Source organism: Homo sapiens, chromosome 18, assembly GCF_000001405.40.
Source record: "Homo sapiens chromosome 18, GRCh38.p14 Primary Assembly".
In the NCBI taxonomy this organism is placed as follows: domain Eukaryota; kingdom Metazoa; phylum Chordata; class Mammalia; order Primates; family Hominidae; genus Homo; species Homo sapiens.
The window spans coordinates 63,788,148-63,807,376 of record NC_000018.10 but is presented as its reverse complement, the minus strand read 5'-3'; the positions used below and the strand labels follow the sequence as shown (position 1 = coordinate 63,807,376).

Genomic DNA, 19,229 nt, shown 5'->3' with positions numbered 1-19,229 from the left:
TTTGGCAGAGAGTGGCAAAACAAATAGGAAAAGGAAGGTAGAGTAACCTTGTGGGAAGGCTTTGAATGTCGTATTAGAAAGTTTAGACTCTATCCTGAGAGGGTGAAGAGCTGTCAGTGTTTTATAAGAATATGAACTTGATCTGATCTGTGTTTTAGGTAGAAAACTGGCATTTATAGATGAAAACATAGAATATCTTCACAACTTTAAAAGTGAGAGAAAAGTAAGAGTCACAAGAGACAGGTAGAACAGATACGAGACGAATCCAGAGAAGAAATGCAGCCTAAACAAGGTCAGTGTTAATGAAAAAGAAGAAAACAGGATATATTCAAGAGTCATTTTCATGGTAACACCAATAAACAGTTCCATTGTGAAAAAGGAGGAAGATACAAGGATCATCTTGATGTTTCGTGTTTGAGTTTTAGTCAAAGGACCACAATGAGCACCGAAGACTGGATAACAAACTCAAGGAAAGGGGTATGTGTTTCCTCTTAGATGTGTTTAGTTTCACCCTAGGACATTCAGGTGGATTTATCAGGAGGCAATTGTGAATCAAGATGAAGTTAAGCATATAGATAGTTGTCACCAGCAATTATTGAAGCCATGTGACTGGATGGAATTATATATAGAAAGAATTTTGAAAAAGAGGAGAAGAACCCTGCAAATAACTGTGGTTAATAAACAGATTAAAGAATTATGAACCTGAAAGACGAAAAGTCATCTTTGTATAAAAAAGAATCCATTACAAGGTCAGTGACATGTCCTTATACTAAAGTGGTCCCTATGTTCTTCTTTCCAACTCAAATCATGTTCTTGAAACGAATGACTATATTTATTCTAAAGATATACTGAGTGCCTACCATATGTCAAGTATTGCTCTGGGATTGTGAGGATACAAAAACAAATCAGACACGAATCCTGTCCCAGGAAGCATGAACTTCAATGGTAAGAGAGGAGCTGAACAGATGTTACCTTTGCTGCTGTTGATCCTGATGTTTGACAACATTCAACAGAAAAGATCGATGATTCCACAGGCACCACAGTTTCAGAAGCTGTTTCAAGCTTATGAAAGTTCCACTAAACTAAAGCCTAGATCATGACTACACAATATAGCCATTCTCTGAATAAGTTGGGACCCTTAAACATGAGATGGACATATGGGCAGGACGAACCAACCAAAATTGCAGAGAAATTTTGTATTTAGTTTGTCTATAGTGCTACGTGTGAATGTTTGTGATCTCCCCAAGTCCGTATGTCGATACCTAACCCCCAACACAATATGGCCACCAGCCGAATGCATGTTCCCATCGCCTATTTCCTGAGGTCATGCTTTGAACGGTCATAGATTGGAATGGTGATCAGAAAAATCAATTCCTCTCTCAAAACATGCCACTGAAATTCACTCTCCATAAATGTCCTGAAAGCTGTAATAGTTCGGGTGCCACAGGTTAGTGGTTAAATTATTTTGGTCAAGAGATTTTCTACATATTTCAAGTCATGTCATATTTACTCATTTATATCATATTTTTAGATTCCACAATATTTGTTGAAAATTAGGTATCTGCCAGGTCTGGTATTAAGCACTGCAGAGACATGCAGTAGGCTATCATTGATTTATACAGTTCCTATTCAGGTAAAAGTGTTTTTTGATGAAAATATAATTCAATGGACTCATTGTTTACAAACTCATAAGTAAGTTCAGCATGATCTACTGATTCTCAATTTATTTTTCTTCTGTTTATAAAATTACAGATGGCTTATTATAAATATTCATATACACAAATCATTTCCCTCATGAATTTAAATACTACTGCTTAAAATTAGTTCATCAGTCTATATATCTGTATAAGCAATTTTATGTGTAATAAACGAGCCACATTGAATCAAATCAAACATATTATAAAAGAATTCTTGCTTGCTTGCTTGCTTGCTTGCTTTGCCTAGAAAACAAAGAAAGCCCTAGTTGTCCTACAATTGGTCAGAGGAAAACAATCACACTGTACAGGTATGTTGTATTTCTTTATTCTGATAAATAGAGAAAAAACTTATAAACTACACAGCATATGAGATATGATTCTGTAGATAACAACTGCCAACAGTTAAAAGATCTTTAATATTTGAAAAAACTATGTACATATTGTCTTATCAAAGAAAGACCAAAATTTGTCAATTGAAAGCATTAATGAAATATTTTGGTTGGTCCCTAATCCCAATTTCACATTTTTTACCATCTAGATTATACACTGATTTAAAATCAAACATATGAAGGTAAACTCTAAAATCTTCATAGGTCAACAAAGAAAATTTATCCTTCACACTTATTTCTAGAAAGCAGCAGGGCTTATTTCCTAGATTGCTTACAATGAAGCTAGAATATCTGCGATAACTGTAGAGTTTCAAAAAGGATCCCTAGGGCTACTTCTACGTTCTCCTTACCAGTTGAGCACTCTCCATAATTTCCAGACGGGTCATGGGGGAGAATGATAGAAATGAGCGTGGGAAGAAAGACAATGAAATTAGAAATGGGTGAGACACATGGTGGTAGAATGCTAAGAGCAGGGATCAGGACAATCAACCAGGTGTCTAGGAAGGGTCAAGTCACCAGTGTCATCTGCTGACCAATGTTAGGAAGAAATAAACTCAAAGGAAACACCACATTTTTCCAATTAAACTCAAATCTATTGACTTGTGGTGGTTCTTTGATGTTGTGGGGACTGCTATAACAGAAACCAATTGGATTTTCAAGGGCAAGAAACTTTGCCACTGAATAAGATGATGTCATCCTTCCTGATAACAAATAGGAATGGGTGGTCAGCTCTAAACAGCGTGGACTGAGGGAGTTGCTTTTCTACAATATTACTTCCTGTGGCAGCAGTAGCCTCGGTGCCCTCCTCAGTGACCTCTATGTAAGATTTGTGCATCATCCTTGATATATACAGACGACCCCCCGAAGCAATCCCAGAGAGATCTGCTTTGGATTCATCAAAGATATCTTTCAGCCCTAGGGCTCTCAAATATTGTTTCATTTCATAATTCTTCTCTATCTTGAACTGAGGAAAAAATACCTCAACATACTTAGAGGTCATTCGCCTTGGATTGGTCCATTCCATTAGATTCTGAAAGGTCAGTTTGTTTTCAATCTGTAAAAATAATTCAGAGATAATTTAGAATCATATGGTCAAGTGATAGATAAAACAATAGCTACAGAGATACATAGTTTTCTATAATTATCGCTTCCTGGATATTTGTGTTCAAGTACATGAATGTGTCTTGGGCAGTCTTGAAACAGAACATGAATAAAATGAATAGCTCAAGTACTTTTAAACAAATCCCATGTTTAATTTGCTCTACTATGAGAAGGCATGACTTATTTGCACCTTAGGGCAATTCCACTCTCTGCTCACCCATGAGCAGATACAGCCAACGTGGAGCAATAGACAGGTGAAGGAACCTGGGAATTTGAGACCATTAGAGGGAGAAAGGAGCCCAGTGGTCATTTAAATCAATATTTCCTAGCCATCTCCTCATCATGAAAGACAGATAAAATAATGTTTGCACAGCTTACTGGAGTAAACCAAAGGAACCCCACGTGGCCTGAGGCAAGGAGGCCAGAGCTCCAGCCTCAAAGGTTTGGGTGACCAATATCTCCCAGTGCAGTTACCCATACTGTCTGGGAAGCTTGAATTCAAATCAATTTCTTGTTCTCAACAGATGAGGCAACTGAAGTGCAGGAGGATGTAGCTGGATATGCCTGAATGCAAAGCAAGCAACCTTAGTTACACAGCTAGAAGAGTCCTTATCTCTCTCTCCAACAGCATCGCTGCCCACAAACAATTCACAAAGCCAATTCACCAGCTCTTGAATACTGAGAATTGATCATAAATTCTCAATTTAGAATAAGAAGATTTTTCATAAACATTGTTTAGAAATCTTACATAAGGACATTTCTTCCTAAATTCAGGCTCAACTTCAATCCTAAACAACTTTTTACTGATATTAAATTTAACTTGTATTCTTATCAAGGACCTAAATTTATACAATCAAATTTAGTCTAATTTGAATTTTTTGTTTTAGTTATCCAGTTTTGTGGTTAATCTGTAATATATTTTTACCCTGTTGGAATTTTTTTTTTCATTTAGTGCACTGAGATCCAACTTCCTCATCGTTATCTGGTTATGAAAGATTATGCAGGTATTTAAGATTGTATAGTATGTAGGTTTATAATAGTCAGATTCAAACATTATTAGGTAAATCTATTACTGAAAAGGAAAATTCAGACAGTAAGTGCAAGAATAAAACTATATTGTTAGCTTGCTTTATCTGGGCTACTTTTTCTGTTGCAGATTATTTCAAGTTAAACTAATTGCTGTATGCTAAAATCTGACTGTTATGAAGATTATCACGTGAATTATAGGTTTAATATGAGGACCAATATTTTATATGGTCATACTTTAGATTTAATAGTACCAATTTTATGACATTTCTCTTGCTTCTCATGTCAAAATAATTAAGATGAAAACGTAATGAAAGAAAGTTGTTGCTAAAATTCCGTAATCTTTGTCTATGCAGAAAGTGTCATTCCAAAGCTTTAAAGTCATGTTTTTAAATCATACTAATGCCCCTTGGATGGTAGGCATGTCTGTTTCTTTATATTCATTCCCCTGTCCTGTTATTCCACAGCAAATATTCATTATTTTCCAAGTCAAAACAAAACAAATACTTTTAAGTGTATGTAACTTTTCAGTATAGCTGACATACATATATGTGTGTGCACATACATACACACAAATATGCATATCTATACATATGTATCTATCAGAAAAATTGACCAAATTCTGTCAGCCTCCCTTCCCTATCTCACATGCTTGCTATAAACATCAAACAAGGTAATATAAATGAAGCTCAGAGCACATGGCCTGGGATGTAGTAGGTGCTCAATAAATGGCACCTATTATTCCTTTTTAATGAGAGAATAGAGAAGGGAGATGAGTCCAGGCCTCTGAGATTGCAGATCAAACTCAAAGAGCCAAGTTCAGGAGGAGGAAAAGCAGAAAAAGGGCTGAAAAAAGATCAGGCTCTGAGATTCAGTGGTGGTGTCTGGCTTGCACGGCCCCCACCGTCTCCCCATTGCACTGTGTTGGTCCATTTCTCCTGCCACATCAGTCACAGGGCAGTCCCTAAACTGTGCTTTTCACTTGAGACACAGCAGCATGGAGTGATGAAACTGCCTTTGCAAAATTATAACAGTAGGAAATCTGACATAGTTGACTTGATCTTGCTGCTAACCTCCAAGATGTTGTTGGTCATTATTTGGCATAGGCTAAGATAACTTTGGAAGAAATTTAGTTTATAGTTTGAATGTAAAGCAAGGATCATAGTAGCCCTTCCCAAAACTAAACCACCTTTGTAAAACTAATGAAAGACCACATGATTATGATTATGAGAGAGGCCTGAATTCCGCCACGATGTAGAGATAGTAAACATTAACCAATCATTGTTATGGAGGCCATAAAATTTGTAACCCCCTCAATGACTCTTGTAGATACTATCACTATTGTAGAACCTAAGACTGGCCTTTTGAGATGTCTTTTCAGACTTTTACATTTCTGACACTAACTCCACTTGGACTCATGACTCATGACTAAACCGGTCCTCTGGCCCCCACAGAGTCCAGAGGTGGACTCAGTGCATGAGGACAGTTTTACACACGCTTGTGACTGCATCCCCACCCAATCAACAGTGCTCATTCCCTAGACCGCTGCCCACCAAACTATCCTTGAAAACTCCTAACCTCCAAACCTTCAGGGAGATTGATTTGAGTAGTAGTGACTTCATCTCCCATGTGGCATGGTCGGCCTTGCATCAATTAAACTCTCTTTACTACAATGCTGTGCCCTCAGTGAATTGATTTTGTCTGTGCAGCAGGCAGGGAGACCCTCTTGTCCAATTACAGTGAGACCATACATTTTAATTCTAAAAGGCTCAGGACTCTATCATATCATACCTGCCTAAAGATGCTCAGTCTAGCAAAATTTCAATGACACGTAGAAGACTGTATTCATGGCCAAACACCAAAAAGGCCTAAACTCATGTCTTTTTAATTCCATAGCTGACATTTGAGAGAGTTCCAATTTGATCACTACTCAACTGAAATTATGCTAAACTGAGTTAAGTCAATCTCAGCAACTATAATGATGTCTGGCTCATACTAGGTACCCCTTAAATATTTGTCAAATAAATTAATAAGCAGGTAAGTCTCTAGTATCTCAATACCCTGAAATCTTACAGTTTATCAGTGAAAACTCAATCAACAGTATCCTAAAAGTCTTATTTCCCAATAGTGAAAATGACAGTCGTAACTTACTTCAGAGAGGTCATTCTCAGGCAGCAGAACGTACATGTTTATGCCACCATTGTATCTGAGCTCAAGAATCTTCATTGATGGGTCCTCAATAACAGACAAATTGAACTTCCGTTCCTGATGCATCATGGCGACTGCCTTCCCAGAGCACTGAAAGTCAAGTCACAAAAAATTATTTATGATCCCACCTCATTTTACTTTATTAACCAAATACATATAAGAATATTGTACTTGGTCAATAAATTTTTGCTCAGTTGACCCTGCAGATTTTTTCCTGACATGTTACCAATAGTGGTTGCATTGGTGCAAATCTTAGTGGTAAAGCCAAGACTTCAAATTTGATTCCTTGAGTTTAAAATTTCCTAACTATGTGACCTTGGGTGAGTTACTGTTCCTCTCTGTTCCTCCATTTCCTCATCTATAGAATGGGAATGACTATAATCCCTGCTGTACAGGATTGTTGTGAGGATTATGTGAATTAATATAGCTAGCACTTGGAACATTGCCTTGTACTTAGTATTTTAACTGAAAAGTCTCTATAATAAGTAATGAAAATTTACTAAATAACATTAAAATGAAAAATGAATGCTATAGGTTTTTTTTTCTTCTCAGAAGTAAAACACAGACTAGTACTAACAAAATTACATGATTTAAGACCAGGCGCTGTGGCTCATGCCTGTAATCCCAGCACTTTGGGAGGTCCAGGCAAGAGGACTACTTGAGCCCAAGAGCTCAAGACCAGGCTGAGCAACATGGCGAGACTGCATCTCTACTAAAAATAAAATAAAATAAAAAACAGCTGGGTGTGGTGGAACATGCCTGTACTCCCAGCTACTTGGGAGGCTGAGGTGGGAGGACCACCTGAGCCCAAGAGGTCAAGGCTAGAGTGAGCAGTGAGTTCACCACTACACTCCAGCCTGAGCAAGCTTAAGACCCTGTCTCAAAAAAAAAAAAAATACGCTATTTAAGCATGAGGTCTCAGAAAAATAGAGATTCCTGCAAGGTATTTGATAATGTCCCTCAAATTCACTAGGGCAAAAAATAAGTAGCTCTTATCTTGAGAATATCATTTATAGATTTAGAGACAACACTGAGGTGCAATAAATTTTCTCCTAGTAATATTACGATCTGCAAACTTGTCAACATTTCTGTAATATCCCCTTTTAGGAAAAAACATCCTACATGGGGAGGACAGATAATTCTCTGTCCTTGAACCAAAGGTCCTTCTCTGGAAAGGTTGCCTTTTTTGACTTAAAGTCCAATCCTCAGAAAGAACACACATGAAATCTACCTGCTTAGTGAGACAGGTCCCCAGAATTGAGCCTGATACACATGGGGACTGGGATGTGATAGACAGGATGTCTCACTGGGGCAGGGAAAGAATCACACATCTGGGTTATGCTGGAGAGATTATGTCACCAATTTTTAATATGATAGAACTAACATTGATATCAGAGATCTAGATTCAACAGCATATTACATTACAAGCTGTCTGCTATAGCTACATTACATAGGGTGTGTGGACTAGCAGGAAGAGTGTTTAAAACAATATTATGATATAGTAATGCTTTTTAAAATAAAAAGAAATTAGGAGAAAAAGAATAACACATGAAACAGGAATGCAGCTTCTGTGAAGCAAGGCAGGGGCCCCAATACAACATTCCTGACTGCAAGAGCTTTGTTGTTTCTGCTGTACTAAGATTACTGTGTACAAATTGATTTTAAAACCCAAGAATATATGTTTTATAAAGGTTGGCAATAAGATGTTTTAGATCAAAAACAGAACTAAATGAAGAAATACATATGGCTTGTACTTGGAAATGCATAACTTTACTAAATATAACTTTTCCCCTTGCAAAAGAGAACACATTCCCTGCTGTGACTCAGGAAAATCATTGATGGTAAATGATTTTAAGTATAGACCTCATGGTTAAAAAAATGAAAAATGAAAAATACACTTTTGTCATATATTTTCTTATAGGTCTCCAATTATAATATCTTAAGATACATTCATACCACTTCTTTCAATTTTGAATGTATTTTAAAGAATACCAATTTACAAGACACGTTTGGTGGTGTTTCATAGCCTGCATGACAGGGAAAATAGAAAGTTTGCTTTATAAAGCAACTGACCATATGATATTGGTAATGCAAAAGAAGAAATGGGTTTAAAACGGTGAACCTAGAGTTTACTATGTAACTATCACAGTCCTGCAAAGGAATACGATTGTGGAAAAGTTCTAAATTAAATAGGAGATTGACGACATACCTTGGGAGATTTGAAATGGCAATTTATGGTTTCGCTCTTGGTGAAGGCTGATTGCCACTTGCCTTTGAAGTACACAGCATTCACCAGCACCATTACAGCAGATGAGCTTATGCCACCTTCACCAATCACGTTCTTGATTTTGCCTTTTGAAAAAAAAATTGAGGGAAAAATGTTTATTTTAATATAATTTTAAAAATGATTTAAAAAGACCATTAATTGGTATGAAGTTTTTTTCTTAACACATAATAACACCAATAAGAATATTAAGAATAACCTATGAGCAATTAATGTGTCCAGCACTTTCTAGGCCCTTTAAAGGCAATCTTTGGTTTAATCCTTACATAATCCCTGTGAGGTAGGCACTATTATTGTTTCCATTTCCTGTTGAGGAAGCTAAGGCACAAAGAGATTAAGACACACAACAAGAAAGTGATAGCAATAGGATTCCAACCCAGGGAGACAACCCCAGGGTCCCTGCTCATAGGTACCAAAGTGCCTTTACTGCATTGACTAGGCCACCTTTTGCTACTACAGTACTTCAATCCATTGAAAGGTAATGCCCTCCTTCATTCCACATAAATGAAATTTTTGCTGGATGCTATGCACTATTCTGCATATTTGAATTACAAATATGAAAGACATAGCCTGTGCCATCATTGAGCTCCCAGTCCAGCACAGAAGAGTCAACATCCAAAGAGCAGTTGTAACCCACCAGTAACATAGAGGTCTGACCTCAGTGCACTGTGGGAGCACAGATTAAAGTCACCCAACTTTTTCTGTGGCTATCTGCTTTAGCTGAAGAACAGTGGGGAGCAGGAAGAGCTTCCATAAAGCAGAGACTATTTATTCAAAGGCACAGAAACCTGAAAGAGCAAGGTGTATTTGTCGGGGAGAATAAGGTTGGCAAGATTGGAAGCAAGGGCCTGATAATGAAGAGGCTTGAATGTCTGGTAAGAATTGTGGATTATTTTGAAGATGATGGGAAATAATTGCTCAGGATTCATTGAAAGACAAGAAAGGTCATGGTCATGATGGATCTGATTTGCCTTTCAAAAGGATGGCTCTGATATTGTGTAGAGGATGTGGGCTTCAAGACCTGGGTAGGGTTGTTTAGAATATTGGCAACATTTTAAAGTGCTTCCTCAAATAAATATTGAGTAGATATGCTTATGAAAAATTAGAGTAATTATGCATAGATTTACATGAGAAAGGAAGAGAAATAAATAACTAGTCTAAATAGAAAAAGTTGTTAGCAATCTGACACCCTTATGTTAAATATTAAATAGAATCCCACCTAGATTTTAGAAGAGTAATAATTACATAGTTTGTCTTGATTTATAAGTGCTATATATGAAACAGGTGATGGCTAAACATCAAAGTAACCCACTATGAATATAATGAGGAATGAATGAATAAAAAGAAAATTTATACACTGCATTCTTAGTCCCAGGACTAAGTGTATGCTGCTGAAAGTTTGCATTTAAAAGTGCAAGATATATTATATCATATTTCTGAGGCACAGCTAGGCTTAGTAAATACAGGTACAATATTTAGAGTACAAATCAAGGCCAACCCTTAGGTAATGAAACAACTACTAGCTTTGGAATTGGTTGATGAACAAAGCAAGGATTAATAAATTTCTTTATTTGCTTTGCACTAAACCAGAACATTAGCTGGAATTACGTTTTTAGTTGTGACAGAGACTTACCAATAAAGAGCTGTACTTTTTCTGGAAGGTACTACCTTTGTTACATAAATTATTTTGGTAAATAAAGAACATTTTTAAATGAGAGATATACTATACATCCTTGGAAAAAGCAATATCATGAAAATACATTTCTTTGACAGTAGAATGTTATAGCTTTAATAAGATTCAGTCCATAAAGCAATTATAAAGTATGAAAATCAGCCCTATCTTTAAAAAATAGGTTGATTATTAAATGAAATGTTATGCTGTGGTCATTGAAAATAATAATGTGGTCATTGAAAGTAATAAGAAAATAATAACTCTTAGTTTTTGTTCACTAACGAGGGTGAGATATTGAGGTTAATTTATCAAATTAACTCAGCTTGTTATTCATATATGAAGTGGTCACAATAATATGTTTGTCCTGCAGGGTTTTGCCAATTAAATGAGATAATGTAAAAGACTGAACTTCTGAAAAGTACAAAGCATTCAAATTATTAAGATTATTCCAAACCACATTGCAGACAAATACTAAAGCAATTTTAAGTAGCAGCAATCATTACTTTGAACTAGGAGGAGCTGTTCCTTGTATGTACAAAAGACTCCCAGCTTTTGTTCCCAGTATTCACATATAACTGACAAATCTTGTAGAAAAATAGGGTATTTCAATACTCACCATGTGTTTCATTTTCAACCCACTTATTAATATTACGTCTAGTGTCTTCTAAATGATTCGTAAAGTCAACTCGCTCCACTTTGGCATCGTATAATTTTTCGGCACACTCAATGTAGTCCTATAAAGAAGAATATAGTTCTCGTATTTACAAATCATCACCAACTAAGTATATAAGAAATGTATTTTTGAACTTTTAATTTCGACTGCTTTATTCAAAGGTTCAACTCTGCCTCAAAAATGAGTATGTAAATATAGGGATATATGGAAATGGGACTGGAAGGGGATCTGGTGTATCTGAAGTTGAATTTGTTCAGCAAATACTCTGTTTAAACTTAAGTTTATCTGAAATGGATTTGAGGAGGCTAATAGAGAATGGATAAAGCCCACCCTTTTACCACTGCGTTCTCATATTAAATAACTCAATAGCCTCCTAACCAGTCTCCCTTGCCTGTGTCATCCCTTCCTGCTGCAAATTTTTCAAGGCTACATTATTGCACTCAAGACAAAGCCCAAGCTCTTGAAACTTGCCGACAAGACTCTGCTGATCCCCACCCTGCTTACGTCATAGCCACTTTCTCCTTACTCTGCTGTCCCACGATACTACATTCCTGACAGTTGCTCAAAAATGCCATGTTTCCTCTCTCACTAGAGGTGTTTGAACAACATTCCTTCTGCCTGAAATGGCCCATATAGCTCATGATTATGTCTTACCCATTTTCTAGTTCCAAGTATGGCTGTCTCTCCTGGACAGATATCTTCTCTAGGTTCCACCCACACTTTCTTTTCTTTTCTTTTTTTTTTTTTTTTAATTCTTTTTTTGAGACGATGTCTCACTCTTGTCCCCTTGCAGGCTGGAGTGCAATGGCGTGATGTCAGCTCACTGCAACATCTGCCTCCTGGGTTCAAGTGATTCTCCTGCCTCAGCTTCCCAAGTAGCTGGGATTACAGGTGCCTGCCACCACGCTGGGCTAATTTTTGTATTTTTAGTAGAGATGGGGTTTCACCATGTTGGTCAGGCTGGTCTCAAACTCCTGACCTCAGGTGATCCTCCCGCCTCAGCCTCCCAAAGTGCTGGGATTACAGGCATGAGCTACCACGCCTGGTCCCACCTACATTTCCTAACAGTCTGTTTATCTTGATTTCTTTTCTTAACAGCTGTTATCATAATGCATCCTTTTTACCTTTGAGATTGTCTGAGTCCTTCACAAAACAGCAAATTCTGTGAAGTCAAGACTATATATGCCTTGCTTATTATTTTATTCCCAGTACCTAACACATTGCCTTGGACATAATAGTTGCCTAAGAAATACTTGCTGTTCTTAATACAAAAAAAGTCATAATGATCTAATTTATCAACACATTAGTAATTCAATGAATATACACAAATATATTTTTGTGGAAAGATGTTCAGAATTAGAAGAGAAAGATGTATTACAAACCATGTATTGTTAGTGGATTTCCTGTTAAAGTTTATAGGATTTTCATCCTAATAATGAAGATTCACTAGTTGTCCTTTGTCTATCTGCAGGATAAGACTAGCTCTCTAATGCAAGCTTTGTGTGTGATTTCCTTGGATACAGCTCTTTTCATCTACTGATTAATTCATTCTTCCATCCACACATCCATTCATCCATCCACTTTGACACAAAGAGTATTTTTTTTTTGTTTTTTTGTTTATTTGTTTTTTGTTTTTTGAGACAGAGTCTCGCTCTTTCGCCCAGGCCGGAGTGCAGTGGCGCTATCTTGGCTCACTGCAAGCTCCGCCTCCTGGGTTCATGCCATTCTCCTGCCTCAGCCTCCCGAGTAGCTGGGACTACAGGCGCCTGCCACCGCGCCCGGCTAATTTTTTGTATTTTTAGTAGAGACAGGGTTTCACCGTGTTAGCCAGGATGGTCTTGACCTCCTGACCTTGTGATCCGCCCGCCTCGGCCTCCCAAAGTGCTGGGATTACAGGCGTGAGCCACCGCACAAAGAGTAGTTTTAAGTAGTCCATGGCCTAGGAAGGTTGAAACATGCAAGAGATTGATACATGCAAGATGTCAGCAAGGAATAAAGATAGCAGTGGGGAGGGACAGGATAGTTATATAGATGTTGCTATTCTCTACCACTTCCAAGAAACTCAGGCCAGATGTAGTGGCTCATGCCTGTAATCCCAGCACTTTGGGCGGCTGATGTGGGCAGATCACCTGAGGTCAAGAGTTTGAGACCAGCCAGGCCAACATAGCAAATCCCCGTCTCTACTAAAAATACAAAAAAAAAAAAAAAAAAAAAAATTAGCAGGATGTGGTGGCACGTGCCTGTAATCCCAGCTACTTGGGAAGCTGAGGCAGGAGAATCGCTTGAACCCGAGACGCAGAGGTTGCAGTGAGCCGAGATTGCGCCAGTGCACTCCATCCCGGGCAACAGAGCTAGACTCTGTCTAAAAGAGAGAGAGAGAGAGAAGCTCTAGAAGAGCTAGAAGCCACTAAGCATTTATACTTTTTTAAAAAGTCCAACTAGTATGTCATGTTGATCTCCTTCTAAGACTTGTCTATGTCCTTAAAAAAAATACATAAAACTTAAGTGACATAAAAAATAAAATTTGGCCAGGCAAGATGGCTCATGCCTGTAGTTGCAGCAATTTGGGAGGCTGAAGAAAGAAGATCACTTGAGCCCAGGGGTTCAAGACCAATCTGGGCAACATAGAGAGACCCTTTCTCAACAACAAAAAAATTAGCTGGGCATAGTGGCATGCACCTGTGGTCACAGCGACTCAGGAAGCTGAGGTGGGATTATTGCTTGAACCCAGAATGTGTTTCCTGCCATGGACACCCCTAAATGGGCTGACTGCTCCTCCATTCCATTTACAGCTCAGCATCCCTACCAATAGACACGTTCTCTTCTGTTTTGAAGCCTATCAGTCTAATGAACCTGAATATGTGGATTAATTGGGTAAAAAGTTGAACTTTGGAAATGGTGATGATATATTCAAGACATCTGAGAACATAATAAGTAGCAATGAGAAACAAAACCATCTTTGTATTGCTCAGTAGAAAGACACAAGCCTTTGTTCAGATAATGGATTTAACAAGATTCAGGTCCTTCTAACAAAGGCAGTTTCACTTACCTTATGAAAGCCATACACTTTTTCAGCAAAAAGCCCATTCACAATGCTGAGATCATAATCCTTGTGGGATGCATTTATATCAGAAAAAACTCTTTTCAGTTGAGACTGGAGCCCTGACTGTTATTAAAAAGATGTATAAAAATTTATTTTTGGACTGCAAAGATATGCATAATCTCACTTACACATAAAACAAAACATGCAAATTATACCATAAAAGAATTTTTTTAAATACTATAAAAATGGCAAACAAGGCCACATACATCTATGTCTTACCCTTTCTCAAAATAGTGTCTGTGATCAAATGAAATAATTTACTAAATACTTGGACTTAAAATTGTTAACAGAAGGTAATGATTTTGCATAACATATATATTAATTAATTTTACCAATGTAAGTTGTCTATGAATATACAAAGAAAAAGGCAAAACATTTAACTTCATCCTTTCTTGCCCAAATATGGCCAATATGCAAATAAAATATTACTAAAGTAATAAATAACAAGTAAATTATCAAAAATTTTACTTGAAAAATTCACAATCTGGAAATCTGAATAAAGCATGTTTCTTTGCTTTGAAAGGATAGTTCCACATTCTCCAACTTCCATCTCTTGGGTTTAAGCTAACCTCCCACCATAGCCCCCCAAGTAGCTGGGATTATAAACTAATTTTTGTATATTTTGCAGAGATGGGGTTTTGCCATGTTGCCCAGGCTGGTCTTGAACTCCTGGGCTCCAGTCATCCACCCGCCTCAGCCTTCCAAAGTTCTGGTATTACAGGCTTGAGCCCCTGCACCTGGCTCACCTTCTCTTTTTCTAAAAGAACATATTGTCTTTACCTGACTATTAGAAGAGTTTCCATATCCTGAGGCAGTGTTAACATGAAGCAACTGTAAACAGGGCACAAGGAAAGCAATCATTAGAATCAGAGGTTACGAGAACAGTTTGCAAGAGGTTTTAAAAATAAAAATATTCTTTCCCAATAAATGTGTCTAATTGCCATTCCAAGTTCATTAGTATCTTAGAGCAGATTCTCCCCATGACTCTGAATGCACATCAACAGGCATACTTGGTTTTAATTTTTATTGCATTTTCTTTCTTTACCACAACTTGATTTTCTCTTAGGTTTACTAGGATTTTGGAATTTGTGCCAATTTACATAAATGCTATGGTGATATCGCTTCCAATTAAATCATGCTTGTCTGGTAGTCAGTCCACACACGGATATTAATGCCTCAGTGCACAGCTCTCCCAGTCTGACACTGAATGAAAAGCATATTTCAGCAGCGGAACTCTACAGTTTTCAATATAGTCAGTGAAATGTGACCACCTTCTTCACTATACAATGATGTAACTCAGAATACCTGTGGACTGGCCGGGTGCGGTGGCTCAGGCCTGTAATCTCAGCACTTTGGGAGGCCAAGGCGGGCAGATCACGAGGTCAGGAGATCGAGACCATCCTGGCTAACACGGTGAAAACCCGTCTCTACTAAAAATACAAAAAATTAGCTGGTTGTGGTGGTGGGCGCCTATAGTCCCAGCTACTCGGGAGGCTGAGGCAGGAGAATGGCGTGAACCCAGGAGGTAGAGCTTGCAGTGAGCCGAGATAGCACCACTGCACTCCAGCCTGGGCAACAGAGTGAGACGCCATCTCAAAAAAAAATAAAAATAAAAATACCTGTGGACTATTTTGTGATTTATGGAATGAATAAGCCTCTTTCTGAAGTGACTGGGCAGCTATAATTTTAACATTTGGGCCAATACAAATTAGGTCATCAATTCATGTGTTAATTTAATATTTGTTAAGTTTTACCTACCAGATTTTCCTGTTATTTTTTGTAATTTTGGAATCATGGAACCTATCAACATTTCCCACCAATGATTATTCCTAAATTTCTTGAAATGTCATTTTATGCAAAAAAGCACTGTTTTACTTAAATAGGCTCTAAAACTCTATGTCATCACCATTTTTAAAAAATATTTATTTATTTTTATTATTCTTTAAGTTCTGGGATACATATGTAGAATGTGCAGGTTTTTTACATAGGTATACACATGCCATGGTGGTTTGCTGCACCCATCAACCCATCATCTACATTAGGTATTTCTCCTAATGCTATCCCTTCCCTAGCCTCCCCAACCCACTGACAGGCCCTGGTTTATGATGTACCCCTCCCTGTGTCCATATGTTCTCATTGTTCAACTCCCACTTAAGAGTGAGAATATGCAGTGCTTGGTTTTCTGTTCCTGTGTTAGTTTGCTGAGAATGATGGTTTCCAGCTTCATCCATGTCCCTGCAAAGGACATGAACTCATCCTTTTTATGGCTGTATAGTATTCCATAGTGCATATGTGCCACATTTTCTTTATCCAGTCTATCATTGCTGGGCATTTGGGTTGGTTCCAAGTCTTTGCTATTGTGAATAGTGCTGCAATAAACATACGTGTGCATGCGTCTTTATAGTAGAATGATTTATAATCCTTTGGGTATATATCCAGTAATGGGATGGCTGGGTCAAATCCATATGAACACTTAAAACTCTTTCTTTCTCCCCTTCCCTCCCTACCCCATGTTTTACAGTGTTTTCAACATGTGGAGCTTCCCCTAACTTTCAGCTTATCGAGAATACAAACTCATAATTAGAATTTGTACTATCTCTAATATTCGATATTATCCCTTATATTTCTTTCTTATTGTTTATAACTACACATTGTCTCACACAAAGGAGGCACTATACAAATTGAGTTAAGGAAATCATTTGTACCAACCAAATTTAAAAACTATATTTTGTGTATCAGGCATAATTTTGACCATATTAGTCTGATAGAGGATTTTTCTCATAGCAGTGTATATACAGAATAACAGTGATTAAATGCTTCCTCCCCAAAGCTGACTGTTTTTAACTAATCCCACCATCATTGTTGTCATCAACCTCACCATGGTGGCTTCTGACAAAAGAAGAGAACTTTTCAGCACTTGCCCCCTCTGCTCCTTTAATTCAAAATTATTTTACGGAGGTTTATAAAATTTAAAATGTGTTTAATTTGGGGATTTTTATATTAAGTGGGCTTAGTTTAAAGAAAAATTTGTTAAATTCATAATATAATAAAACTGGAAAGCTTAATATTTTTCAGTTTAGAAACGTCCATACTTACAATAAAGCTCAAGAAGTCATTGCTGTTATTAAGTTGTAGTTTTTATCACCTAATTATTTGCAAGTGATTTTTATTTCAATAGTGACTATGCATGGCATGTTTTCACCTATGGAAAAATTCAAAATCCAAAATTTTGAACTAGAACCTGCAGTGACTGAGTGACAGAGACCCTTGAACAATTCTGGTTCAACAGCCTGGGAACATCAGCATTTGATTTATAGAAGAGCTTTCTTAGTCTTTAGATAAACTGTCACTGTGAGCATATGGTACTGAAGGACCTGTCATATCAGTCTATAAGAACATTTATGCATGTTATGATAAAGAAAAGATGATGAAAGCATAAGTCTTTTAATTTTCAACCTTTCACTATATTTTGAGAATCTTGCATCTTTGCAACATCTCTACTTGAAAATAGAATAAGCTCTTGGCCAATGTGGATTTTCAATACCTTTAAAAATATGGCAGTTATCTCTTCCCAATTGAGAGAAAGAATTCAGAGAGAGAATATACTGGGTACTCTGTATCCTTAATCCTCCCTCAGTTTTTTAGTCAATTTTATTGCAGCTGCGACTTCATTGGTGAGCAGTGGCGAACAGTGGAGTTGGTCACTTGTTACTAGGAAAGGGAGGTTCAACAGGGACCTTCCACTCCATGGAATTATTTATTTGGACTACTATAAGAAAGGAAATAAAAGCATGTATCTTTATACTTTGGACTACATCATTATAATTGTTTCATCCTATGTCAGAAAATAGATGAAGTTTGTCTCTCAGGGCTCCCAAAATGAAAAGTTTCAAATGAAAGTCATTACTGTCCATCATCTCAGTATAAGATGGAGAGAGAGATGAGCAGTGGCCAGCTTGAACTTAGGTGGTCCCTTTGTATCCTTCTTTCCTAAAATGAGGGGTCAGGAGTTGATGGGACCAGCTCGCTAATCTTTGAAACAGTTCAAGGAGGAAAGTTTAACCAGTAAAGGCTGAGAACATATTGGAAGTCATATTTGATTATGACATAATGTCTTGAGAAAAATATAAATGGCTATGTACATTTATATAAATATAAGTTATAAAATATAATTTGACTGATGTCTGCTCTTCAAAGTTTTAAACCTTCTACTTATTACAATCATGCATCACTTAACTACACGGATTCTTTCTGAGAAATGTATGGTTAGGTGATTTTGTCATTGTGTGAATGTTACAGTGTGTACTCATGCAAACCTAGATGGTATGGCCTACTATACAACTTGGCTACATGGTATAGCCTATTGCTCCCAAATACAAACCTGTATAGCATGTTACTGTACTGAAGACTGTAGGTAGTTGTAACACAATGGTAAATATCTGTGTATTAAATACATCTAAGAATAGAAAAGGTATAGTAAAAAACTGTATGAAAGATGAAAACTGGTAAAACAGTATAGGCACTTCCCATGAATGGCACTTGCAAGACAGGAAGTGGCACTGGGTGAGTCAGCGAGTGACTAATGAGTGTGAAGGCCTAGGATGTTACTGTACACCGCTGTAGACTTCACAAGCACTGTACACTTAGGCTACACTACATTTATAAAGAATATTTTTGTTTTCAGTAATAAGTTAACTTTGGCTTACTTTAACTTTTTTACTTTATAAACTTCTTATTTTTTAAAAACATTTTGATTCTTTTGTAACAACACTAGTCTTAAAACACAAAGACATCATACAACAGTACAATTATATTTTTTCTTTATATTCTTATCCTATGAGCTGTATTTATTTAATTTTTTAACTTTTTAAACTTTTTTGTGAATAAGTAAGACATAAACACTTTAGCCTAGGCCTACACAGAGTCAGGATTGTCAATATCACTGTCTTTTTCCTTCACGTCTTGTCCCACTGAAAGGTCTTCGGAGCATTACCACGCATGGCACCATCATATCCTATGATAACAATGCCTCCTTCTGGAATCACTCCTGAAGGGTCTGTCTGAGGCTGTTCCACA

The 19,229-nt window shown here is 37.1% G+C and overlaps 1 protein-coding gene across 5 annotated transcripts in view; it reads right to left on the bottom strand.

Annotated features, from left to right (window-relative positions):
• Positions 2,007-19,229, bottom strand: part of SERPINB7 (serpin family B member 7) — a 52,314-nt gene continuing 35,091 nt past the window's right edge. For 4 of the 5 annotated variants that reach the window (NM_001040147.3, XM_024451278.1, NM_003784.4 and 1 more), the window contains exons 3-8: positions 14,934-14,984; positions 14,100-14,216; positions 10,994-11,111; positions 8,631-8,773; positions 6,365-6,511; positions 2,007-3,140 (exon numbers count right to left, since the gene is read on the bottom strand). In NM_001040147.3, coding sequence (NP_001035237.1) covers positions 2,742-3,140; positions 6,365-6,511; positions 8,631-8,773; positions 10,994-11,111; positions 14,100-14,216; positions 14,934-14,984 — 975 coding nt within the window. In that variant the 3' untranslated portion in view covers positions 2,007-2,741. The remainder of the gene's footprint in view (positions 3,141-6,364; positions 6,512-8,630; positions 8,774-10,993; positions 11,112-14,099; positions 14,217-14,933; positions 14,985-19,229) is intronic. The other variant, NM_001261831.2, reaches the window with a different exon arrangement.